The 26,721-nt window shown below is 39.5% G+C and overlaps 1 protein-coding gene and 1 long non-coding RNA gene across 10 annotated transcripts in view, besides 4 other annotated features; one reads left to right on the top strand and one right to left on the bottom strand.

Annotated features, from left to right (window-relative positions):
• Nucleotides 1–1,340: 1,340 nt before the first annotated feature.
• On the bottom strand, nucleotides 1,341–6,755 carry GPR155-DT (GPR155 divergent transcript). 3 transcript variants are annotated; one of them, NR_183818.1, is made up of 3 exons: nucleotides 6,316–6,755; nucleotides 5,229–6,108; nucleotides 1,341–5,135 (listed from the first exon to the last, which is right to left on the bottom strand). It is a non-coding gene; the product is annotated as a GPR155 divergent transcript (long non-coding RNA). The 3 variants fall into 3 exon arrangements; NR_183817.1 differs by having other exon boundaries at nucleotides 6,614–6,755; NR_183819.1 differs by having other exon boundaries at nucleotides 6,727–6,755.
• Nucleotides 4,224–4,323: an enhancer, noted in NCBI's record as "active region_16774". NCBI's record gives its function as "activates an Ori minimal core promoter by ATAC-STARR-seq in GM12878 lymphoblastoid cells {active_cell/tissue: GM12878}" and the evidence as "EXISTENCE:reporter gene assay evidence [ECO:0000049][PMID:35858748]".
• Nucleotides 6,974–7,153: a silencer, noted in NCBI's record as "silent region_12126". NCBI's record gives its function as "represses an Ori minimal core promoter by ATAC-STARR-seq in GM12878 lymphoblastoid cells {active_cell/tissue: GM12878}" and the evidence as "EXISTENCE:reporter gene assay evidence [ECO:0000049][PMID:35858748]".
• GPR155 (G protein-coupled receptor 155) overlaps nucleotides 7,114–26,721 on the top strand; it is a 55,459-nt gene continuing 35,851 nt past the window's right edge. For 2 of the 7 annotated variants that reach the window (NM_001267051.2, NM_152529.7), the window contains exons 1-5: nucleotides 7,114–7,270; nucleotides 12,156–12,646; nucleotides 20,779–21,178; nucleotides 23,588–23,753; nucleotides 25,076–25,231. In NM_001267051.2, the coding sequence (NP_001253980.1) occupies nucleotides 12,187–12,646; nucleotides 20,779–21,178; nucleotides 23,588–23,753; nucleotides 25,076–25,231 (1,182 nt within the window). In that variant the 5' untranslated portion in view covers nucleotides 7,114–7,270; nucleotides 12,156–12,186. Of the gene's footprint in view, nucleotides 7,271–10,984; nucleotides 11,134–11,207; nucleotides 11,271–12,155; nucleotides 12,647–20,778; nucleotides 21,179–23,587; nucleotides 23,754–25,075; nucleotides 25,232–26,721 lie in introns of all 7 variants that reach the window. The other 5 variants (XM_017003485.3, XM_047443532.1, NM_001267050.2 and 2 more) reach the window with 5 other exon arrangements.
• Nucleotides 7,417–7,599: a silencer, noted in NCBI's record as "fragment chr2:175351272-175351454 (GRCh37/hg19 assembly coordinates)". NCBI's record gives its function as "represses an EF-1alpha promoter that drives an FKBP-Casp9 reporter gene in an ReSE screen in HepG2 liver carcinoma cells and phorbol 12-myristate 13-acetate-treated (for megakaryocytic differentiation) K562 erythroleukemia cells {active_cell/tissue: HepG2 | K562(+PMA)}" and the evidence as "EXISTENCE:reporter gene assay evidence [ECO:0000049][PMID:32094911]".
• Nucleotides 7,494–7,563: an enhancer, noted in NCBI's record as "active region_16773". NCBI's record gives its function as "activates an Ori minimal core promoter by ATAC-STARR-seq in GM12878 lymphoblastoid cells {active_cell/tissue: GM12878}" and the evidence as "EXISTENCE:reporter gene assay evidence [ECO:0000049][PMID:35858748]".

The following is a 26,721-nucleotide window of genomic DNA, read 5'->3' as shown; positions in this document are numbered from 1 at the left end:
AGCCGGGTGTGGTGGTGCATCCTGTGGTCCTAGCTACTCGGGAGGCTGAGGTGGGAGGATGACTTGATCCTGGGACGTTGAGGCTGCAGTGAGCTGTGCTCGTGCCACTGCACTCCAGCCTGAGCGACAGAGTGAGACTGTCTCGAGGAAAAAAAAAAAAAAAAAAGAACAGGTGTTTCTGTTTTGAGTGATTCTCTAAATACAAAAATGTCACCAACTTATTTAGCTCTATTGTAAGATTTAGTAGGGCAACAAAAGTTGATCAAGTTTCTACTTTCTATTCTACCAAATACTGTTCTGATACTGAAGAGACTACAGAAATCAACACAGATAGAGGACCTGCCCCTTCAAGGAAGGAAGGAGACTGGAACCCCTGAAAAATTTCCTCTACTGGAAGAATGCACCTGAGGTATGTGCTTCACTGTTGTGCTGAGGATGTGATAGCCTTTTTTTGAGCTAGCTATTTACTCGAAAATGTTTTAACTAGAATCAGCTAAAAACATTCTTAATCTAAAGTCAAGGTTAAAATCTGAGATTTCTCCACTTCCTGCTTGTGTTTTACAATGTTGGTTAGTTTTAGTTTTTCAACTTAGGCATTATTCAAATTAGAAAGTGCTCTGCACAGTTAAAATATTATTTCTTTAAAGGCTGCCTATTAAATAAATTTGTTAGTGAGCCCACTTTTAAATGAACAATTCAGAAGTAGGAACAAGTGTATTTTTTTGTTTTTCATCTTCATGTTCCTGATCTCTAACTCCTTTCAAAAAAAAAGTGGTCAAAACAAAACCACAAGTATCAAGAAGCTAAGTCTTGAAACAGACTGGTGCGGCCCCCAAAGTTACCATGCTTCTATTGTATGATTTCTGCAGCCTATCTTACGTAAGTCATCGATTTAACTTTCAGTTTCATAAGCTAGTTCTGGTTTCATTGTTTTTCTGCTTAACATTTTTTTTTTTTAGACAGAGTCTTGCTCTGTGGCCCCCGAGCTGGAGTGCAGTGGCATGATCTGGGCTCACCACAACCTCCGTGTCCCAAGTTGAAGCAGTTCTCCTGCCTCAGCCTCCCCAGTACCTGGGATTATAGGCGCGTTCCACTGCACCTGGCTAATTTTTGTATTTTTAGTAGAGACAGGGTTTTACCATGTTGGCCAGGCTGGTCTTGAACTCCTGACCTCAGTGATCCGTCTGCCTTGGCCTCCCAAAGTGCTGGGATTACAGGCGTGAGCCACCGCGCCCGGCCTCTGCTTAACTTCTTAAGTGCTGGCCTAGACAAAAGCCTCTGCCCATTTAATCACATTTGAGCCTTTCTTGGGGTCAATAACAAGATCAATAGCCACGTGAGATGTTTAGGTTCCACTTTATTGCTTTTGTGAGAATATTTCAGTAGCAGATCGAAAGAAAAAAAAAGCTATCGTATATTTATGCACACATAAACATATATATGTATATTAAAAGATAATACTCAGGGTTTTAACTTGACAGATCAGAAATAATTATTTAATTCTAGCATTTACAATCACAAAAAGGAGTCAACAATTTGGCGGAATATTTATTTATTTATTTATTTGAGATGAAGTCTTGCTCTGTCGCCCAGACTGGAGTGCAGTGGCGTGATCTTGGCTCACTGCAACCTTCGCCTCCCCGGTTCAAGCAATTCGCCTGCCTCAGCCTCTCAAGTAGCTGGGATTACAGGCACGCGCCATCACACCCAGCTAATTTTTGCATTTTTAGTGGAGACAGGGTTTCACCCTGTTGGCCAGCCTGGCTTCACATGATCTGTCCACCTCAGCCTTCCAAAGTGCTGGGATTATAGGTGTGAGCCACTGTGTCTAGCCAGGGGGAATATTTAAATAAAGCTATAAAACTTGGCCAAGTGAAAAGCTGGAAACAAGAAATCCAGTTACTGTAAAAGATCTATGTCACAGTTGCTTGTATCAAATACTTCCCATAGTTACAATCCAACTTCCTAGATAGCTGATAGGCAATTATGTTTTATTAAATCATTCAAAAACCATTTACAGAATGCCTGCCATATGTCAGGGAAAGCACTATTCTAAATGCTGAGAATACAAAGATCAACAAAAGCAAGGCCTTTGTCTTCTCTAAGGTCATAGGCTGCATCATATCCATGCTCTTAAATCATTCTATTTTATGGGTGGATTTCATATATATTCCTGGTTTAATAAACGATCATCGTTTTAAAATTTGTTTTAGAAGATTTTCATATAGCCAAAATACATACTTTGTATATTAATTTTATCAAGAAAAAGGGAAACTTTTCTGCACAGAAAAAAAAAATTTAAATCATGTGTATTCTTACCACTCAGAGATAATTACTGTTGCATTTTCCTTTAGCATTTTTCCTATGCATTTGATTTTAAGTAATAGAAAACCCAACTCAAACTTGTTTAAACAATGAAGAAAACTGATTGGTACACATCAATGAAGAGTCCACAGGCCAACCGGTGAGGCTGCTTTAGGTGGGGCTTGACCCCACAACTCAATATGTCATCAAGGTCCCTGTTTATTTCCTTCTCTCTGCTGTGGCTACCTTGGTCTCTGCACCATTCTAAGACTGGCTTCTCTTATGGTTCTAAAATGGCTGTCGGCATCTTCCTCTTGTCTAGCAAGAAAGAGAAGATCAGCATTCTCTGCAAAAGTCCTGAAAATTATTCAGCTGAGCTACTTCAGGATCAGTGCCTACCCTGACTAATCATTAAGTGCAAAGGGATGAAATACACTGATTGGACAGCCTACATTAGTTACATCATCTCTGAAGGGAGAGTGAAGTCAACTTCTCTGGAAACATGAATCCCTAAAGAGAAAATGATGCTATTGGGAAGGGGAAGGGGAGTTTTAAAGAAACTAAAAGTTTTTAAACAAAATCTGGCATCGTACTAGACATGTTCAAACAGCACATTTTAAGTCACTCTCTTTTATTTTTCTATGCTTTACTCAACTTTGATTAGACTTTATAGATGGCCCAGTTTCCACTTTTTCGAAGAAGATCATCCTCAAAATTTCGCTAGGGAGTATTTAATAGGCATTAAAAATGATATAAATCTATCTATATGAATAAATTGTTTATGGATTAAAAAGGTATTACTAAATGAGAAGTGACTAAAATCATGTGTATGAAAATCATATGTATAATCCTATTTTTCTTAAATAATCTATATTTGCATAAAATGATACATATATGGTATAATATTAAAGAAGTTATCCATAGGTATGATTTTCACTTTCTTCATTCCTTTCTGTATTATCTGAATATGTTATCATTGTTATTACTTTCATAGAAAGAAACATTAGAAGTACTTCATTTTGGAAAAGATAAAATTCACCAGGAATCCACATGTACATCATATTGCCTCAACATATATCCTACATGACCTTTGTCATTGTATCAAACCATTTGGTTTGTTTCTCCTGTCAATTTTGATCAGCGGGACTTGAGGGAAATCGGGATATCAGTGTGCTTGAAGTTTATAGGTCCCACTTATTTGTAAATGAAAGTTATGATTAATTTACAGTTTTCCCTCCATTATTCTGCATTACTTTTAGCTTTTCTTCATTTTTTCCAGTTAATAGTATAGAATAAGTCAGCATCTCACAGAATGATTAGCAGATATGGCAGTGGAATTAAGTTAGTTTCTCGTGGCGTTCATTGGTAACTACTTCTCTGAGGGTGACTTTTTAATGAAGTCTTTCATCTTTGTTTACATTTTGTTCTTAGAGTTTCCTTCCACAAGCTGCTCTGTGGAAGGAAACCTCACCAATGAGGTTTCCACAAGAAACTTCATCAATTCTGTACGGATGTCTTCTCAAACCATATCTTTATTTCTGCTCTTTCTCTCTCTTTTCTGTTTTCTCCCTAGGGGTCTACCGGAAATCTCTACATACATGTGCTGATGCCTTTATGAGAAGTTTGTTTACAGGACGGGGGGGCTTTTATTCTCATTCTCTGTCATGGACTAGTTGAGTGTTCTTAGACCAACTGCTTAATCTCCTAGAGTCTCAGATGGAGAGGATGATAACTTCAAGAGAGAAAACTGAACTAGAAAATTTCTCAAGGTTTTAGATTTGAGGTCTAAAACCACATTCATTATTTTCTCCTTGAAACTGCTTCTCCCACTGAAATAGTTCTTCCTTTCATTTTCAGGTAACAGAATAATAGAAAACAACGAAATTTTATGGCTGGACAGGATACTAGAAGCTCTCTAGCTCAATTTCTTTTCTTTATTTTAATGGATGAGGAAATACATAAGCTTGTTAAATCCTTCCTTCTCTCTCTCTCTCTTTTTTTTTTGTCGTTTTCAGACAGGGTCTCACTCTGTTGCTCTGGGTGGAGTGCAGTGGTGCGATCTTGGCTCACTGCAGCCTTCGCCTCCTGGGCTCAAGCAATCTTCTCATCTCAGCTGCCTGGGTTGCTGGAACCACAGGTGTGTGCCACCACACCCCGCTAATTTTTTTTTTTTTTAAAGACCAAGTTTTGCTCTGTCACCAGGCTGGAGTGCAATGGCACGATCTCAGCTCACTGCAACCTCTGCCTCCCGGGTTCAAGCGATTCTCCTGTCTCAGCCTCCCAAGTAGCTGGGATTACAGGCGCACACCACCACGCCCGGCTAATTTTTGTATTTTTAGTAGAGATGGGGTTTCACCATGTTGGCCAGGCTGGTCTCGAACTCCTGACCTCAGGTGATCCACCCACCTCGGCCTCCCAAAGTGCTGGGATTACAGGCCTGGGCCACTGCGCCCAGCCTAATTTTTGTATTTTTTGTAGAGATGGGGTTTTGTCATGTTGCTCAGGCTGGTCTTGAATTCCTGGGCTCAAGTGATCTTCCTGCCTTGCCTCCCAAAGTGCTGGGATTACAGGCGTGAGCCACCTTGCCCTGTCCTTCCTCCTCTTTAGCCCTATCAGTAACTGAGTCTCATCAGTTCTCCCTTTTCCTGTCTCTCAGGCCTATTCCATTATTTTTACTGTCATCACCCAAGAGTAGGTCTTCATTTCCTTATGTCTTGGTTCTTCTCCAAGTCACCACACTGTTTTTCTTGCCTTCAGTCTCTCTTTCAACTAATCATGGTACAGCTTCCAGATTACACACCCACAAATAGTGTGATCATTCTGACATGTTCCTGTGGGGAAAGAAAAGTTACATGTTTTACTGTGGCCAAAGGATAAGGTTCAAACTAACCCAAGGAACCTCCTACAGGTTGACCGTAACTTACCTCTGCAGGCCTATCTTCCAGTATTCCCCTGATAGTCAATGCTCAATAAGTATTTATTTAATTGAATTAATCTTCATACTTCCTAAACAAAAATCCTTTTAGCCTTGAGATAATTTAGATCTTCAATTTTTTTTTTAAGTAGTCAGGTTCAAGGGAAACAAAGAAGGCAGTTAAAAGTGAGGAAGACAGAGAACAAAGGAGAAGCAAAGAGAACTGGAGCAGGATCCATGCCTTTTATAGCTTTAATTTCTGCTCATTTTTCCTGCTAAGTTTCAGATCCTTTAACCTACCCTTAGCTTACTGTAATTTTTCTTAATAAGCCACACAATTTTGTATCTTTGCACTAAGATGGCCGAGATGATAGGAAGACACGGAAATTGCCATACAGAAATGTTTAAGATGCAAAGCAAGATAAAAGGTTGTAAACAAATGCTTGTAGATATCTTAAGTGGAAACATATATAAATATTTTAAAATTTGAAATAATTTTTATTTCAAAAGGCTAACTCAATTGCAGGATTTCTTCAGGTTTCAAAGTGGAGCACCATATTTGGGATACTATATATAGGTTTGTTGTCTGATGCCCATGGCAAGTTAATACACTGGGACACCAGGTTGCAGAAGAGAAAGAGGTTTAATCATAGGGCCACCAAACACAGATAGGAGGAAACCTCAAATTCGTCTCCAGGAGGACTTTGAGTCTCAGGTTCTTAAGGGTTTTAGAGTGGTCCCAAGTGTGGAGATCATTAATTGGCTGAAGAGTACAGGGCGAAGTCATGGGACAGCGAGATGAAGAAGCTGTATTCTCATGCTGATTCCCTTCTTCTGTGGCAGGGGTCTTCAAGCTGGCTGGCATCAGCTGTTTCGCTGGAATTTGGCGTCTGAAAAACATTTTAAGCAATTCTTAAAAAGCCTTACGACTCTTAACATCAGAAAGCCTATCTATAGGGACAACGGGATACAAATGTACTATCTAGCTCTACCCGACTTTCGGGTTACAAGGAAGTGGGTCAAAGTGTAGCCTGATTAATGCTTAATTATATTTTTGTCCAGAATTCTTATAAACCCTGTGAGGATAGTTTCAATACCTTTATTTCAAGAAGCTTTGGAAGTTTTCCATCAATGTAACCAGTTTCAGTATACTGAGTGGACATGCATGTAGTTCCCCACCCCCACCCCACCCCCGTACCGCAATAGAATAGAAGCAGTCATGGACGGGGCCCAGATTCTAAAACAAGCTCAGGGCTAAGGGTTTACATTTTAATCTCTTATGTAGGAACGTCAAGGTCACACTGCCTTGGTGAAGGTGGAAGGCAGGATTTTGACCCAGGTCTGATTCTAAGCCCTTGCTTTAAAACTCTATGCTATAAAAAGTCCTGGGCTAACCGGGAGCGAAACTGGCAGATCACACGAGGTTGAGGTTAAGCGGAAAGACAAGTCTGCTCTGCGTCTGTACTTGGGAAGAGGAAAAAAAACTGGACATCCCCCACGGCGGCTACCATTTTGTGGGAGCAGGGAAGCCGGAAGTCCCGCCCCGGAGGATCGCGGCTGGGAGGCTCCCAGCCGGCAGGGCGGGGCCGGGTACCCTGGGGCTCCGAGGCTGGAGGAGGGGGCGGGGACTGAAGGCGGGGTTGGGGAACGTGTGGCTCGGAGGCCCGAGGCTGTGGGTGGGGCCTGAGGGCGGGACGGAGACTCTGGGCTCAAGGCTCCTGGAAATGGGCGGGGCTCGAGGGCGGGAAGCGGCCCGTCTTGCTGGAAGTTCGGGGCTGGGGGCGGGGTCTGAAGGCGGGGCTGGGAGGGAGCGGGGCCTGAAGGCGGGGCGGGGGCGGGGCCTCGCGGCCGGCGAGGGGCTGAGCTGACAGGGCCGCATCGGCTTACCCCACCTTACTTTATCGGAACGTGCCTAAGCTGCTGCAGCTGGCACCCGGTTGCGCTCGGCGAAGAGGGCTGGGGGCGGGAGATGACGGTGGTCTTCTCCCTGCTTGGCACCCTGCGAGCACCAGCTCCCTTCTCCTCGCCACTCCAAGGTTGCAGACGAAGCAGGTGAGAGGGGCCCCTGGAGCGCGGACCTGCTGGGTCCTGGTTCTCCCTTGCGGGCACGGGGTACCCCTGCCTCTGCCCCTCAGGCCTGGGCACGTGGGCAGCCGCCGACCCTCTGCGCCCTGGCCCCGCGGCCCGTTGTCTGGACCTGCTGTCTCTGCCCCGCAGCGCCTGCCTGTGGAACGTGTGAGATCACCCGGGAAGGCTCGCGCGGGGGAGGGGGTGTCTCGTCCCCTCCGGAGACAGAACTGCCATCCCTAGTTTGGGAAGCTCCTCACTGCACGGGCGTCCACCCTGTCTTTCTTAGACTCTTCCCTTTATCCCGAGGGTACCCTCAGTATCTGGCCCTTCCGAAGGCTTCTGCCCAGGCACCTGGAGCACTGCGCCAAATTTTCTCCCTTACCCGTTTTTGGGGTATGTTAGTTACCATGACGTTGTGACTCCCGTGCCCTGGGAAGACTAGCGACCACCTTTTTCTTACGCCAGGCAAAGACCCCTGGCTGCCTTTCCACTTCCACAGCTGCCTTCCCAGGGGTTGGCTGGCAGCTGCTCTCCGAGCAGCCTATTCGGTTAGGAACTCTCTGCGCCCCTTATCTTGGAGGGCCACAGTCTGTCCCTGCAGACGAGGCAAGGAGGCAGTGCTCAGCGCTCCCTACCCTGGGTCTCTAGGGAGGACATTTGGCGCCCTGCAAGTAGGTAGGAGTGGGTGAATGGTGCGACTATTAATGTTGAAGAGTGCTCTAATAGTACCACACTGTATTACACTTATCCCACGGGATAAAGGATGTTGGATGTTTGAGAAATAGCCTGAGAGTTTAAAGCTTTCTCTATGAAGTTAGTCAACCCTCGCCTTCCCCCCGCATTTTCACTTAATAGCAGTTATTTACAGTATCAGTGGTTCGTTTATGTGATCTAAGCCAAATGTGATGTGGCTAGAAGCGGTTTGTAAGTACAGTAGCATTTCTTCAGTTCGTGCCTCAGCGAGTGGTCTTTTACTGTGAACGTGTTTGTTCTGTAACAAGCTTTGTTTTTATAGATAAAAAGGCTGGATGTAATTTTTTTTTTAAAACTTCCCTTGCTGTGGTTCCTGTTCATTTTAAAATATGCTTTAGAAAGCATATTATCTTCCCGTTTAAAAAAGATTAGGATGAAATGAAACTTTTAAAGTCATTTTGATTATTTTGACTTTACCTCAGCAGGTATTTCTTTTATAATACTGAGAAACGTTAAAAGAAACCTCATGGGGAGGGGCAGATTGCTTTTTTTTTTTTTTTTTCTTGAGACGGAGTCTTGCTCTGTTGCTCAGGCTGGAGGGCAATGGCAGGATCTCGGCTCACTGCAACCTCTGCCTCCCGGGTGCAAGAGATTCTCCTGCCTCAGCTTCCCGAGTAGCTGGGATTACAGGCATCTGCCACCAAGCCCGGCTAATTTTTGTCTTTTTAGTAGAGACAGGGTTTCACCATGCTGGCCAGGCTGGTCTCCAACTCCCGACCTCAGGTGATCCGCCCGCCTCGACCTCCCAGAGTGCTGGGATTACAGGCGTGAGCCACTGCGCCCGGCCCTTTTTTTTGTTTTGTTTTTTTGTTTTTTAATTTTTCAACGAATTGAAAGTTAATCTTGGACATTGCTACAACTATTTGACCATCACCCTGAGAAAAATGAAGAGCTCTGCCTTCACTGTTAACCATTTACTATCAAACCAAATTAAATTCAACTTATCTTAATTGTTTGGTATAAAACAAAAACTGATAAATTTATGACGCATCCCATCCCTCTTTTTTTAGTTGGTGGATCTTTTACCAGTTATGTTTGAAGAACTAACATGTTTACTTTTTTATCATTATTAGTAGTAAGACAACAGTTCCTAATAGCAATTGCTGCCGTTTTTTGAAGGCCTACTCTGTGATAAGCTGTATATAAAATATTCTATCCACACAATATCCCTCTAAGGAGGTCTTTGTTTGAGACAGGGTCTTACTCAGGCTGGAGTGCAGTGGTGTGATCATGGCTCACTGCAGAGACCTCCTAGGCTCAGGTGATCCTCCCACCTCAGCCTCCCAGGTAGCTGGGACAACAGGCACGCATGACTAAGCTCAGCTAATTTTTTGTAGAGACTAAGGTTTTGCCATGTTGGCCAGGCTGGTCTGAAACTCCTGGGCTCACACAGTCCACCTGCCTGGGCCTCTCAAAATGCTGGGATTACAGGCGTGAGCTGCTATGACTGATCCCTATAGGGAGGTTTTTACTCTCATTTTACAGTTGAGGAAACAAAGGTTCAGAAAGACTAAGTAACTTATGAGTTGATAAACCATAAAGCTCAGAATCTGTTTGACTCTCCACTGAACTTCTGCTAGTTTAAACTGTTGGTTAAAAAATATTATTGGAATGCCTTGACATGCTCGTGTTGTACAAGTAAGGGCTTATAAGCAGAATGAGTTATTAATACTCTAGGCACTTTTGAAAGTGAACAGAAGACTGGATTAATTTATCACTTTCCTGTTTAGCACTGCCTTTCCAAGTACACACCGTCTTAAGGGCTCCAAATGTTTAACGCCTTTGTTTAATTGTTTACCAGCTCCTTACTTCAAGTATGTGTATCTGTACCAACCGGTAGCTTTCCCAAGATATAATTTGATGCTTATTTGGTAAACTTCAAGTATGTGAGTAGTGTAGGTTTCATGTACTATATTGACCACTGCTATCTAATCCTAGTAGGAAAATACTTGTCCTAATCCAGATTAAATATAAGGTTTTCAAATGGTTCGGTTTATACAAGGGTAGCACAGAGAAAATTCCCTTGTACCCACGCCAGCTATCAGTTGTTGGTGATCTCTGGGCTGCCATCTAAGTCTTTTTAATGTGATATAGATGTTTGAGGACTTAACCTGAGCATTGTAAATTTCTGGAAGCATGAGCTTTTTACTTTCTACCTTATATCAGTCTACTTTAGATGGTAAACCCAGAATAATCACTTAGAAATTGGCTATTGTTGGCTGGGCGTGGTGGCTCACACCTATAATCCCAGCATTTTGGGAGGCCGAGGCGGGCAGATCACCTGAGGTTGGGAGTTTGAGACGAACCTGACCAACATGGAGAAACCCCGTCTCTACTAAAAATTCAAAATTAGCCAGGCATGGTGGTGCATGCCTGTAATCCCAGCTACTCGGGAAGGCTAAGGCAGGAGAATCTCTTGAACCTGGGAGGCGGAGGTTGAGGTGAGCCGCAATCACGCCATTACACTCCAGCCTGGGCAACAAGAACAAAACTCCATCTGAAAAAAAAAGAAAAAGAAATTGGCAATTGTCGTCATTTTAATTTCAAGATACTAATAAAAGCTGATTAGCTTTAGAGTTATCCAGACCTCATGTTCATTGTGTTCCTGGCAGCAAGAGGGGGTCTGATAATTATTGTACTATTCGTGTTTTGAATTTGTTCCATGCTTTAGCATTTTCTGAACCTCTTTAGAACATTTTACAAAACATTTTGTATTTTTTAACATTTCATGAACACCTTTAGACATATTTTGTGTTCTTGGTTCTGTTGCTGTAGTGGAAAACTTATAATACTTTATCATTCAGAAAACAAAAAAAAATTCTGTCTGTAAACTAAATAGTGCCTGAAAGAGAACATTGATCCATGAAAGGGTAAAAGGTTTAAGTATAAGTAATTATAGTTATTCATTAAAAAAAATTTTTTTTTCTGTCTCGTGTATGCCAGGTACTGTCCTAGATGTTAAGGACACAACATTGAGCAAAAACATGCATAGTCCCTGCTTCCGTGACACTTGAGTGAACTGAATGTGCAAAGTCCCTGTGGCACAAAGTCCCTGGGGCCAGTGTGTGTGGCGGGTGTAGAAGGAGCTAAAGGTATATTGGTGGGAGGTCGTCATTTTTTTCTCTCTCTCATGTTCTACCAAAAGTTATATTTAACTTCCGTTAAGTAATTACTCTGTTCCAGATGTGATTATAAAGACTTCAGTGGAATAATCGCAAGTTCCCATGTGGTAGGTATTACTATTATTGCCATTTTACAGGTGAAGAAGGTGAGACACAGAAAAGTTAAAGTTAATTCGTTCAGGTCGGGCACAGTGGCTCATGCCTGTAATCCCAGCACTGTGGGATGCTGAGGCAGGCAGATCACCTGAGGTCAGGAGTTCAAAACCAGCCTAAGCAACATGTCGCTACAAAAATACAAAAATTAGCCGGGCGTGGTGGCACACGAATCGCTTGAACCCAGGAGACAGAGGTTGCACTGAGCTGAGATTGCACCACTGCACTCCAGCCTGGGAGACAGAGCAAGACCCTGTCTTTAGAAAAAAAAGTTATTGGTTTAAAGTTGATTAGTAGTGCTCTACTATACCCTTCTTCCCATCCTATATTCAAATATGACCACGGGCTGGAAAGGACTCTGGTCCCTGGGTGACTCCTCAATGTAGCCTTGAGAACTTCTGAAATTTCCAGAGAATTTGGATGCATGGGGACATTCAGCGGAGACTATGTGTGCCCGATGCCCTTATCCACCAGGCGGAGCTCAATTGATGGAGAGAATCACTGGAGAGAACCACAGGGCATCACTGCAGCTCTAATATTTGCGGATCTTATTTTACTCATGTCTAATACTGAGTATAGAACTTAGCAACATAAATATTTTGAGCTGACCTGCCTTTGAGAGTGAAGCGATTATTGTTAGCAACCCCCCACTTTTTTTTCCATTGTATTTTCCCTGATGGTATGTATATTTATTTGGCCATTGAATAAGTAAATAAATCTAGGGGTATGTATATTTATTTGGCCATTTAATAAGTAAACAAATCTAGGTTTGCCAGTGTATTATTTCAACTAGAATTCTTGTTGATGGCCATACTGAATCTTTCTTCCTTTCTTTCCAGAGATCTGGTTGGAGTTGGAGGGTGAGAGAAAATGAATTCTAATTTACCTGCAGAGAACTTAACCATTGCAGTCAATATGACCAAGACTTTGCCTACAGCAGTAACGCATGGATTTAATTCCACTAATGACCCACCTTCAATGTCAATTACAAGGCTTTTTCCAGCCTTACTGGAATGCTTTGGCATTGTCCTTTGTGGCTACATAGCAGGAAGGGCCAATGTCATAACATCAACCCAGGCCAAAGGACTAGGAAATTTTGTCTCCAGATTTGCACTTCCAGCTTTATTATTCAAAAACATGGTTGTACTTAATTTTTCCAATGTGGACTGGTCCTTCCTATATAGTATCTTAATTGCCAAAGCTTCTGTATTTTTCATTGTATGTGTATTAACCTTATTGGTTGCCAGTCCTGATAGTCGATTTAGCAAAGCTGGACTATTCCCTATTTTTGCTACACAAAGTAATGACTTTGCATTGGGATACCCTATAGGTAAGTTAATTTTTATTTTTCAAGTGTTTAAAAAATTCAATTTTAATTTATTTAGGCATTTGTTAGTAACAGATTCTTACTCTCATATCTAAGAAGTTTTTCATTTTTTTCTCAAATATGTCTTAGGATGAATCATAGTTTTTCCTAAACTTCAGAGTTTGAGGATCCTTTAAACATCTACCTAAAATAAACGGTCATATTCTAATAACCACTGTGAACAGTCCTAATTGTATTTTTTTCTTCCCGGTAAGCACATATGAAAGAAGCTTAATTTTTAGAAAGGATCCAATTGTGATTTAAATTATGTTAAAAAAGTAGATTTATGTCTATATAAAAATAGTTATTATTAAGTGTTTGTGAAAGGAATTTATTTTTCCTACCATCTAGAATATGTATTATTTTATATCAGAAATTGTTCTGGGGCCAGATGTGGCTCACACCTATAATCCCAGCACTTTGGGAGGCCGAGGGGGGCAGATCACTTGAGCCTAGGAGTTCGAGACCAGCCTGGGCAACAGGGTGAAACCTCGTCTGTATAAAAAAATAACAACAACAAAAAATTAGTCAGCTGTGGTGGCACAAGGCTGTAGTCCCAGCTACCCAAGAGGCTGAGGCAGGAGGATTGCTTGAGCCCAGGAGGCAGAGGTTGCAGTGGGTCAATATTATACCACTGTACTCCAGCCTGGGTGACAGAGTGAGACCCTGTCTCAAATTTAAAAAAAAAAATTGTTTTTGAGCTTGTTATTCAAAATTTTAATGTATTTTAGTTGCAGTTAATTTCTTGTTTAAGAAAAAAAATGGTGAGAGCTTTTTTACCTTTCTAACTTTTCCTTTTTTATGTTTCTGACTCTTTCAGCAGCCTAATTTTATGTTTCTATGTGTATATGTTTTACTAATGAAACAGTAAACGTACCAGTTTGGGATATTGACATATCTTGAAAGGAAACATTCTATATTTCAGAACACTCTGTCACCAAGAAAATGTATATTTTAAATTACTTTTTTATATTTTAAATTAAAGTTATATATACTTTGATCATCTATCAAGTATGAGGACTTGAATATTATAGATATATTCATTCATTCATTCATTCACTCACTCATAAGGAACTGTTTCGTACCAGTGGCTGTGCTGACTGTTGGGATTATAGCTGTGAACAAAGTTATTGCACATATTAAATTTACATTGTAATGGGAGAATAATAAAATTAAAATCATGTCAGGTGGTGACAAGGGCCATAAAAATAAAGTCACGTAGAAGGATAGGAATGTGGAGGTGCTATTTGAGGTAGGGTGGTCAATGAAGGCCTCTCTGATGATATGTCTTCTGAGCAGAGACTTGAGCCTATTGAAGGATACAATTGAAATCTACAATTAACTTTCAAGTTTCTTACCTAGCAGTTTTATCCTTTCCCCTCAAACCCCAACTTATTTCACTGCTGGTACCAAAAAGATTCTATTTAACTATACTTTTCACTTCTGTCTCTACTTTTGACTTTCCTCTATCTTGTTACCAGAAAGAGAGAAACACCTAAGAAGTTAAATAACTGTCAGTAAAGCTGGAGGTTTAAGAGACAGGAAAAACTGGGCTCATAGATAATTGAGCTACAAATAGTCAGAAACTAGATAGGTGTTCCTTTAAGGTTATTGAATTTCAAAAGGAAATAAAGACTTTTGGAAAGAAAACAGCAAGGAGTTAACATGTTTGTCCATTTCCTCAGGAGAATTAATAAGGTAAATTTCTCAAGGTATTTATGGTATAAGGACCTTAGAACTGACTCGGCACCACAGTGTTAAATATCTGACAAATATTATGTATCTTTAGACATAAACTAGAAGTATATAGTTTCATGCTCCCATAGATTAGTGAGCCGATAATGAAATAGAACTAACATTTATAACTATGTAGTTTACAGAGTACTTTCTTATATACTTATCTCATTTGGGTAGGGCAGATATTTTTATCCTCATTTTCAAATAAGGAAACTGGCTTACAGAGATTTAATTATTTTATCCCAGGTCATACAACTAGCAGGTGACTGACACCCAAACCTAGGTCTTCTGGTTGCAAATCCTGGGCACTCTCTTATGCCATGCAGTTACATAATGTGCCAGTTCAATTTTCAGAAGACCCAACCAGCCTTGTAATATACTAGTTCCAGAAAAAATGAAAGGGTTTTTTTCCTCTAAAATATTCCATAAAATGAGTAGTAGTGGAAAAAGACCTATTAGAATAGTTAATCTATTGTCATATTGAGGCAGACTTTCCAAATAAAAAATGTAATCAGCCATTTTATCACTGCTTTTCTTATGTCCCACATTAAGTCAGTGAATCTGGTAATAATTATGTTTCTAGCCGTGTGCCAGCCCAAATTTCCCTGATGGTTGTTTGTTGATTTCGAGGTATAATTTTTGTTTTTATGTTTTTGTTTTTTTAAATCACAATAACAAAAGCTCTTGTAATATTAAGTTGTAGAATATAACTTTGCTAAAAACCAATATATTAGACGAGTGCTTTTTCATATATCTAGACGTTGGAAGGTGTGATGTAGAACTATTAGGGGTGAGTATCTGCTGCCTGATGAGGTAACTTATTACTGCTGCTGTGCCCATCTGCCTTCTGGCCTTGTTCTCGGTGAACAGAGAAAGAATACTGTCCCCAGAGAGAAGACCTTTCTGTCTTTTGTTTCCTGGCCTCTCCAAGGAATTCCCACTCTCTTGCTCACAGACAAGCATCGATCATGGGTTATAAGAAATGTCCTTTTTAAGACTGCATTTGTTCCACATCTGTCCAATTTACAGGTAACACAGGAAATGCTGGCAAGGAGAAGACATATAAGTTAATGAACAAAGAAAAAAGATAGTTACGTTTTCTTTCGCTACATACTATGACAACTATAACAGTCTATGACATTACATTAAAATGATGTATTATTACTCCAGTAACAGAATAGTGCATGTTGCAACTAAAAAAGAAGGCTGGACATGGTGGCTCATGCCTGTAATCCCAACATTTTGGAAGGCTGAGACAGAGGGATTCCTTAAGTCCAGGAGTTTGAGACCATCCTGGACAACATAGTGAAAACCCTGTCTCTACAACAACAACAGCAAAATTAGCCAGGTGTGGTACAAGCCTGTAGTTCCAGCTACCTGGGAGGCTGAGCCAGGAGATCTGTTGAGCCTAGGAGTTCAAGGCCGCAGATGGCTACTGTACTCCAGCCTGGGTGACAGTGAGACCCTGTCTCTCAAAAAATAAAAATAAAAGAAGCTCACTGTGTTTTAGAGCAATTCTTTTCTAAAGTACTTTTAAAAATCCAAGTATGAGAAGAAACTAAGAATCTCCCGTGGCAAAATGTTGATTTCAGCATATCAGAATGGTTCCCTGCCTGTCATTAAAAGATACTAATAGAGCATAGTTAAGTCCTATAATTTATTCTTCAAACAATGCTGATAGCATAAGTACTCTGACTAATCATAATTATGGTCTAGTGCTTGAGCTGTAAACAGAAAGGAAATGAAGCATTTAACTATATGCCATTACATAATAGAATGATTTTATCTGGGTCTTTGTGTTATATGCTAGGGATTGAAACCCTGCAGGAATCAAAATAGGAAGCACAGTGGGTGGCTAATTTTGTCTCTTAGTTCTTCAAAGCTATATAATAACTCCTCATAATGGGATTCTCCCTGCCCTCCAAGAGCCTTATTTATAAGCATTAATTAATTAGAACCTAAAAGTTGATATAATGATTGTAAACCTAATTTTAGTTACTATACTATACCGTACTGCTTTCATGTATATTTTTTCAGGTTTTAAAAACCATCTTCAGATTGATAGCAAAAAAAAAGCACTGCCAATTTATAGATAAAGATGTAATGTTAATTATGCAAATGAATGGCAGAAAGTAGACTGAAATTCCCATGTTGAACCCTATTCTAGTAATTTAACATGTATTTATTTAATCACAATTTTTCTGTGTGTTCCCTCTAGACTACACTTCTTCTGCCTCTATGCTTGTTCAGCTGACTTAAAATACCTCAATAGTAACCTGCTTTATAAATATTCATAATGTGTAAAATGTAAAAAAAGTTACAAAATTTCCATTAGATTTATTGTATAACATGGTGACGATGGTTAATAACAACATATTCTTGAAAATTGCTGAGAATAGATTTTGTGTTCTCATCAGAAAAAATGATAAATATGTGAGATTATGCATATTTTAATTAGCTTGATTTAGCCATTCCATAATGTATACATATTTTAAAACATTATGTACATTATAAATATATATAATTTATATTTGTCAATTAAAAATAAAGTTTTAAAAGTAAAAATAAAGTTTAAAAATGGATATAAAAATGGATTCATTGACAACAATTCGATGTAAAGAGCTGCGTATTAGAAAATACATGTTTACTACATCTGAAACTTTTGATGTTCATTGATGTGTTCGTACCATTCAGCAAGTATTTTCAGATTTTCTCAAGCATTATGCCAGGGACTGAGGGCTATTAAAATGATGCTTTCAAGGAACTTAGAATTTGTTGAGGTGGCACTAGTATGAAACAAAGTACTACAGAATACCAGAGGAGGGGAGATTAATGATGTAGGTTGAAGACTTGGTGGGAAATGTAGTGCCAGAGACAGGCCTTAAGTAGTAGGTGAGATTTAGGTAAAAAAAGGAGATATTAAGAAGTTAGGGGGTGACGGTATGAACAGCATAAAGAACTACTAATTATGAATGTGGTAGTTGTCTGGTTTAACTGTTATTAAACTGGCTGATGGAGTCTTTGCATTAAGGATGGGGTGGATAAGCAAGGGGCCAATTGTGGAGACTGGACTGTGGATGTTAAAAGAAAGGTTTTTTTTTGTTTTGTTTTTTGTTTTTTGAGACAGAGTCTCACTCTGTTGCCCAGGCTGTAATGCAATGGTGCAGTCTTGGCTCACTGCAATCTCCGCCTCCCAGGTTCAAGCAATTATCCTGCCTCAGCCTCCCAAGTAGCTGGGACTATGGGAGTGCGCCACCACACCCAGCTAATTTTTGTATTTTTAGTAGAGATGGGGTTTCACCGTGTTGGCCAGGCTCTTCTTGAACTCCTGACCTCATGATCTGCCTGCCTTGTCCTCCCAAAGTGCTGGGATTACAGGCATGAGCCACCATGCCCGGTAAAAGAAAGGTTTTGTAGCTGTTTCTGTGGGCAGTGAGAACCGTGAGAAAATCTTACCTTTTGAAAGTTTAGATTTAGATGGTACTGTTAGCTGTGAATAAAATGGATGAAGAAGGTGGTTGAGAAAATCCAAGAGAATGTTGGTTGGTAAACACATGAAGTAATCTAATTTTGAGATTTTTGACTAATAATTGTAGTAGCAATCAAGAGGAGAACATCCTTCCAAAGAAGAAAGAAAGAATGTGGTGAATGGCCAAATATAAAAACTGTTGCTTAAATTTGCACTGAGTTCTTAAAACAATGTAAAGTTCATTATGCGGTAGTGATTAAATGCTAGTGTGCCAGGAAAGTAAATTTCTGGAAAAAGGCATTAATATAAGGGGCTTTGAGTAGATCACAGAACTGTATAGCTGTGTTGTCAAAGGAAAACATGTTATGCATCTTATTGTTGTGGCTGGTTAGGAAAAATTCTGATACTCAGATGAAAACATAAGACTTTTCGAAAATATCTGCTCTATTATAAAAGTTGGTGGGCAGGTATGAACATCTTTCTCTTGAGATAAAATATCTCAAGAGAATCAGAAATATAATTATCTAAAAATAGTTATCAAAAGTGCTGCTTTTTGTTTAAAAGATGAAGCCTTATGAAACCTGAAAGAAAACCACTAACTTTATATAACTAGCATATCTAATTTGGAAACCAGTGGAAAGAACTTATAAAGTTTTATGTAATCAAATATTTTTTAGCCACTGCTTCATTTTGGAGATATTATAGATCTTGAATTTACTTAGCTGAGAAAATGGGGATTGAATCTGTTAAAAAAAAATAGGTTTTAGCTTTTATGAAAAAGGTGACCTTCTAAAGGTTACATAATCTAGTTATATAACTTTAATGGGACATGTGCATGACATTAACTGAACTTACATATCCTGAGTAAGTAAACAAGTGTATTTTCCTACCTATATCATTTTATCTTAGTGTAAATTGAGAAACCTAATTTTTTTTTTTTTTTTTTTTTTTTTTTTTTTTGAGACGGAGTCTCGCTCTGTCGCCCAGGCTGGAGTGCAGTGGCGGGATCTCGGCTCACTGCAAGCTCCGCCTCCCGGGTTCACGCCATTCTCCCGCCTCAGCCTCCCAAGTAGCTGGGACTACAGGCGCCCGCCACTACGCCCGGCTAATTTTTTGTATTTTTAGTAGAGACGGGGTTTCACCATTTTAGCCGGGATGGTCTCGATCTCCTGACCTCGTGATCCGCCCGCCTCGGCCTCCCAAAGTGCTGGGATTACAGGCGTGAGCCACCGCGCCCGGCCGAGAAACCTAATCTTTTACATGTTTTCACGTTTGCCTCTCTCCTTGTGAACGACTGTGGCTGTTCTTTTTTATCTTTCTCAACTTCAAATCAATTATAAATCAGCCTTTATTTGCATTAGATTGTATAATTTCGGGACCCATTGTCAAAAATGTGCTAGAGACCAGTTGTTTACTGAAAGGCCCTAAGTTGCTCTAATAAACTAAAGACTAGGTCACCAACCCTCACGTCTACCAGGAAACTGCTAGAAGTCTGATCCCACTCACTCACCTCCCTCATGAGATTAAAAAAACACATCTTATGCAGTGGTTAAGTCCTAAAGTCATCTTGTATATTCAAACTCTTGAAAATGCCCACCAAATACAGCACACATACTTTGTCTATATTGTACCATTTTTCATAAGTCTAACACAGCCAGATTTTTTTAGCTAGCATTGTTCTTCAATGAACAGCAGTTGAAATAATTTGTTTGCACTTGGAAACATGCTATGGGGGGTGGGGGGAAATGAAGCTTTTGTTTTCCCAAGAGGGTATGGTTGAATTTGTGTTAACTAAATGTGCATTGATGTGACTCTACTGTATTTCCCTCCCAAACATTGTAAGATCCACCTTTCTATCTCTACTCCTTAAGTATCTCCACTGGTCTTCTTTGAAGGCATTCATTCCTTTTCATTCCTCTCAAATGGAGGTTGTTCATTTTCCCATTGCCAGCACACCACATGAGCAGTGGAAGGTAGGACTGGCATCCCCACAGCTACTGTGGACCATTGCTAGACCATCCCTCTGCTCTGCTGTTAAAAACTGCTTTGAGGTTCATACTTTCCGGCTAGACCACTGATCCTCTCTGCTGTTACCTGCTGACCTCATTCTAGGCATTCCCTCTCATTTACCTTTATCCCAAGTTTTGTCATTGTCTTGTGAACTACCATGAAATTCTCTGCCCTGTCATTTCCTTGACCTCCTCTTCTCCAGTGATGTTTTCCTTTACTCCATTTCAGCCACTAAGTCCCATAGCCACATCCTGGACCTTGTCATCTGGAAAATATTTAACTGAGTAGCTCATTAGCTGTTTTACTCTGAACTCCCGCACTTCCAACTGTCCCTAATTCCTAGAGGCCTCCAAACATCTCCCATCTTCATTTCTTTTCTTACACAGCTTGGATTCCACATCCGTGCTCCTTTTTAGTTCCTGAAATAACTCCTACTCTCTCCTCAACCCTCTGTGATCTGACTTCTGTCTCTTACCACTCCAGTAAAACTGTTCTTTCCATGGATACCAATAAACACATTTTTGCTATTACTACTTAAATGTTTAGTTTGTCCCTAGATTTTTACTTTGAATTGTTTCTTCTAAAAATTCTACAATTCTGCTCATTTTTGGAGACTAATTTTAACCCTTAGATGGTAAAAATTAGTGAGGTTTAAAAATAATGTGTAAACTTGGTTATCATTTTATAAGCTATATGATATTTATTATGTTTTTCTTTTTTCAGCTTTATTACTAAAATGTACTTTTCCAAAATAGGCTATTTGGGTCATTTTGAAAATTTTAGATTTATCATTGCTATAAAGTACAGAAAATGTTATATACATAACATATATCTGTATTTCTGTGGTCATCATTTAAAAATCAATATTCTTGTTTTGCAGTTGAAGCTTTATATCAAACTACATACCCAGAATATCTCCAGTACATTTATTTGGTGGCACCAATATCTCTTATGATGTTAAACCCTATAGGGTTTATTTTCTGTGAAATCCAAAAGTGGAAAGACACTCAAAATGCTTCTCAAAATAAAATAAAAATTGTGGGACTCGGACTCCTGCGTGTATTACAGAACCCAATAGTATTTATGGTCTTCATTGGCATCGCCTTCAATTTTATTCTTGATCGAAAGGTACCTGTATATGTCGAAAATTTTCTTGATGGACTTGGAAATTCTTTTTCTGGATCAGCCCTATTTTATCTTGGTCTCACGATGGTGGGAAAAATAAAGAGACTGAAGAAGTCGGCATTTGTAGTACTAATTCTTCTCATCACAGCTAAACTGTAAGCATCACTTATTTAACTTGAGAATTGTACTTTTTGAAAGCCGTATTTAGCCAATTCATCAGGGGTATGTCTGCAACCATTTTCCCCTTTGAATATTAATAACCCCTCCTTGTAGAATAGTTGTGAGATAAAGGAAAATGTGATGGTGTATTGTGGAAAGTCATTTCCTTATTCCCAGTAGCTTATTCTTTCCATCTTACTGTCAGAGGATAAAGATGATGGGTTTCCCTTCAGCTTTTACATAAAGTTTACTCAGTATCTCCTCATGTCCCAGTTTGACAGTATTTTCAAATAAATTTTGCAGCATTTCTGACTTTTCCAAATCCATAAAGACCCTAAAGACAAAAGCATCTTAGTGATAACCAGAACAATAATTTCTAATGCAAACTTTTTTTCATGAATTTGGGAAAAGTATTTTGTAGTTCTGAGGTTGGCCAAATTTTCTAAATACAGCCAAGTCAATATGAATGATTATTATCAGCCATATGATCCTGGCTTGCCAAATGAAAAGTGCTCATCAACTTCTTTTTTGTTGTTGTTGTTTTTGTTTTTGTTTGAAACAGAGTCTTGCTCTGTCAACTAGACTGGAGTGCAGTCATGCGATCTTGGCTCACTGCAACCTCCACCTCGTAGGTTCAAGCTATTCTCCTGCCTCAGCCTCCCAAGTAGCTGGGATTACAGGTGCCTGCCACCACACCTGGCTGATTTTTATATTTTTAGTAGAGACGGGATTTCACCATGTTGGTCAGACTGGTCTCAAACTCCTGACCTCAGGTGATCCATCCATCTCGGCCTCCCAAAGTGCTGGGATTACAGGCATGAGCCACCGTGCCCAGCCTCAACTTCTTAGTTAATAGTTCTTCAGCTTACTTGGTCCATTAGCCATGGAGTTCTACATGATGGTGCAGGTGACATAATTTTACTGCAAGATTATCCCAAAGTACTTGAGGCATACTTAACTATGGAATTCCCCTCATGTATAGACAGTTATATTCATGAGACCAGTACAACATAATCTACTGTTTTCATAATAATAAAAATGAATATAAGTACTGAAAATTATTTATGGCGATGTTATGCTCTTCAGAAACAAAGTATTAGTATTGTGGAAGTAATAAGTATAGTTTAAACAATAATGGTATTATCAACTTTTGCTTATAAGTAGAATTTAAATATTCTAATTTTAAAGATGGGGGGTCTTTGATACTTAATTAGATATTTAAGTTTTTTAATTTAAAAAGTACAGATCAGAGTAGTTCTTTACTCCATCCCAGAGGGCCTTGCTAGGTGCTGCTGTGAAAATGTTAACAATCTTGGTCTTGCTGATTTTAAAGGAGAGCCCTATTTGCTCAACTACTGTGGATTTGCTCATTCTATGAAATCCTGAAAAATTTGTTTAATAATTGACTCTTCAACAGGTCTGCATTTCACTAGTTTTCTGCTCCATCTCAGTTGTTTTAGTTCCTTTGCTAATTTTTTTTTTTTTTTTTTTTACAAAGATGAAGAGCTACTTGAAGATACCTATTTTTCTACAGGATTTTGGAATCTTTTTTTTTTTTTTTTTTTTGAGACAGAGTCTTGCTGTGTCACCCAGGCTGGAGTACAATGGCTGGCATGATCTCAGCTCACTGCACCTCCACCTCCTGGGTTCAAGCAGTTCTCCAGCCTCAGCCTCCTGAGTAGCTGGGATTACAGGCATGTGCCATCATGCCCGGCTAATTTTTTGTATCTTTAGTAGAGATGGGGTTTCACCATGTTAGCCAGGCTGGTCTTCAACTCCTGACCTGAACTCGTGATCCGCCTGCCTCAGCCTCCCAAAGTGCTGGGATTACAGGCTTGAGCCACCATGCCGGCAGGATTTTAGAATCTTATTAAGCAATGTTGTTATTAACTGAACCATTTCAACCCCTAATCATGATAAAGTTCAGCTTTTTTTTTTTTTTTTCAAAACAGGAGTTTCTGTCTCTCTAGAATACTTTGAAAGAAAGAAAAAGAGTTTAGTGATTCTCTTGAAAGAAGTTTTTATGCAGATTGTCAACCTTCTTTCTTTCTTTGAACATTTCAGTAAACTGATAGAGGAAGCAAGAAAGTAGCTAGAATTGCAACTTTTACCATCTTTTGGCAAAAAACAAAAATTATTTGTAGAACCAAAAACATCTTTTTTTCCCTCCTAATCCCTGATGTGTGAGGTATTTCCAGAATATTGTTACACTTTAAATGGCTCCAAGTTGAATTCTTGATTTTTTTCAACAAAATGTGCCCAGGTAGACATGCACAGAATATGTGCATGCAAATAGACATACCTTCTGGGCAGGAGAACCTGATGCCAAATTCACCAGAGCAGCCTGCTACTGGGGACAACCATGCTTTGATATCAGGTAAATGATGTTTTTCTTTTTTCTTCAGTCTGGTGCTGCCACTTCTGTGCAGAGAAATGGTGGAACTCTTGGACAAGGGCGACAGTGTGGTGAACCATACAAGTTTATCAAATTATGCATTTCTGTATGGTGTATTTCCTGTAGCACCAGGAGTGGCTATCTTTGCAACACAATTCAACATGGAAGTAGAAATTGTATGTATATAGTACTTTCTAAGTTTGATGGTGTGTTTAGTCGAAAAAAATTTTTAAATTCATTTCAAATTTTTTAAAATTCTTTTTTAAAAATGAAAAAATAGAGACGACGGGGGTCTCACTATGTTGCCCCAGGCTGGTTTCAAACTCCTGCCTTCTGCCTTGGCCTCCCAAAGTGCTGGGATTACAGGCATGAGCCACCGTGCCCAGCCCATTTTAATTTCTAAACATAGAAAGCAATGTTGTTTTTTATGAGGTCCAGCACTTTGGGAGGCTGAGGTGGGCAGACCACTTGAGGCCAGGAGTTTGAGACCAGCCTGGCCAACATGGCGAAACCCTGTCTCTACTAAAAATACAAACATTAGCTGGGTGTGGTGGTAGTTGCCTGTAATCCCAGCTACTTGGGTGGCTGAGGCACAAGATTTGTTTGAACCCAGGAGGCAGAGGTTGCAGTGAGTTAAGATTGCACCACTGTACTCCAGCCTGGGTGACAGAGCAAGCAGCATTGTTTTTTATGAGAATTTGATGCCTATAAGCTATCTCATTATAAGAAATAGGCATCATGTAACATAATGTAACAACAGTCATTTAATCTGGGGTCTTTAGTCAGCCCTGACTTTTTTTAATCAGTTTTTTTAGTTTTAACTATTTTATTTCTGTACTTAGACAGAAACCTAAAAATTATTTACAGAAAGGTAACTTTGAAATTTTGAAGAAAAAAATGCCTATTTTATCATTGATAATTTCAAGCACCAGATGCAAAATACTGCATAATAACTGCAGCAGATAGCTAAAATCAATTGACACCAAATTATTAACAGTGTCTAAATGTATTGTAAATGGTATCTACAGCATCAGAGTAAATGATTTTTAAATATAATACAAAGGAACTAAGTTGTTTAATGGAGGTCAATTCTGTTATTTAATCTGTAAAATAAATATTTGCATGGTAATTTTCTTTTTTTGAATTCCTTTTCTTTTTTGCCACATAGTTTGTGAAACAGGTTTATTTATATCATTGCTACAGTTTATTTTCTAGAACTTAGAGGATAACTAACCATCAACAGTAAATTTCTAGTATTTATTATGCGTAAATATAAATTAAGCATAGATTAGAAGAGGAACCAAGGTAACTCAATTGTATTTTGTATTAAGGATTCTCAGAAAGGGGAAGTATGGTATTGGATAACATGCTGGATTTTATAATGTCTTTACTGTGTCTCATTTTTATTTTAGAATGCTTTAGTGTGCCGTGGTTATTTAAAGTTTAAAATACTGTTTAATTGAGATTGTAACTCCTCTGTTTGATTTCATTTTTGCAGATAACCTCAGGGATGGTGATAAGCACATTTGTGTCTGCTCCCATCATGTACGTTTCTGCCTGGTTACTGACCTTTCCCACTATGGACCCTAAGCCATTGGCATATGCCATCCAGAATGTTAGTTTTGATATAAGTATTGTCAGCCTGATCTCCTTGGTAAGTACGTTGCATCCCAAAATGAATGGAAACCACAGAATGAGTTTTGAGAATAGACTGTTAACAGAAGGGATTTAAAAATCTAGTTTCTTATGAAATAAAGAAAGCTAAAGCCTGCCCATAAAATATAATGTCAGCCTTCTGATTAACTGAGTTTTGTTTTTCTATTTGGGAGTTAGAGTTCTATAGCAGACAAGACATGAGATTTAGTCACACCTGGATTTTATTCCTGGCCCTCTCACAAACTAGCTGTATGCCTCTGTGGAGTTACCTTAACCTCTCTAAATTTCTGTTTTCCAGCATAAAATAATGACAATAATTTCACATATTTCCATGGGTTTTTTAAGGGGTTACATGAAATAATATATGTGAAAAGCATTCTGCAAATGATGAATCACTATAGAATTCCTAGCTGTTCTAGAATCATGGGGTCAGAAGGTATCTTTGAGTTCAAGTCCAACCGCCTATTTAATGTTAATGAAACTTTTGGTTACTTCTCAAACTGAATATATCTAACTAAAATTAAATAATTAAGTATATGACAGCTAGAGTATCTTACAGATCAAATGGCCTATTGAATTCATGTTAGTAAAACTACAGATATTCTGGCTGAAAAAAAAGACAATGTGTACAGTTAATGGAGGTGGGGGTGAATATGTATATTGGTAACAGATAAATGTGTGATTAATTTTAAAGAAATTCCACCTCTGTCACATGTTCTTAAAATCTACTACACCCATTCATAACAGGGCAGTTTGGGGAAAGAGACCATATACATTTCAGTTGGCAATGAGGAAAGAAGGAAGTCGCCAGGATACTTACCTGGCCAATACGTAGGTAGAATGGAAACCCAATCCTTTAAAATATGAGGAATGTGATCTGGCACCGTGGCTCATGCCTGTAATCCCAACACTTTGGGAGGCAGAGGCAGGCAGATCACTTGAGGCCAGGAGTTCGAGACCAGCCTGGCCAACATGGAGAATCCCCATCTCTACTAAAAATATAAAATTAGTCAGGCATGGTGGTATGCATCTGTAATCCCAGCTACCTGGGTGGCTGGAGGCACAAGAGTCACTTGAGTCTGGGAGGCAGAGGTTTCAGTGAGCCGAGATCGCACCACTGCACTTCAGTGAGACTCTGTCTCACACACACACAAAGAATAAAAAATGAAGAATGTAAGATGATTAATCTTAAAGGTGTGTGGTATGTGTTGTTTGAAGTAAAACAGCCTGGCATTTAGATACCCCATGAGACAATATGTTGGAAATAGAAAAGGAAAAAAACTTAGAATAGTGCATTATTATAACTATCTCCCACTAAAGCTCCTTCCCTGAATAGTTGTCTGTGACCCTGTGTCCCACCCCAGACACGGAAGGTAGGCATAGTTAGAACATGGCCCTGGTCAAGGGATTAGTTCTTTTTTGTTGAGACAGAGTCTCCCTCTGTTGCCCAGGCTGGAGTGCAGTGGTATGATCTTGGCTTGGCTCACT

Source organism: Homo sapiens, chromosome 2, assembly GCF_000001405.40.
Source record: "Homo sapiens chromosome 2, GRCh38.p14 Primary Assembly".
NCBI lineage: Eukaryota > Metazoa > Chordata > Mammalia > Primates > Hominidae > Homo > Homo sapiens.
This window is presented reverse-complemented; position numbering and strand designations above follow the sequence as displayed.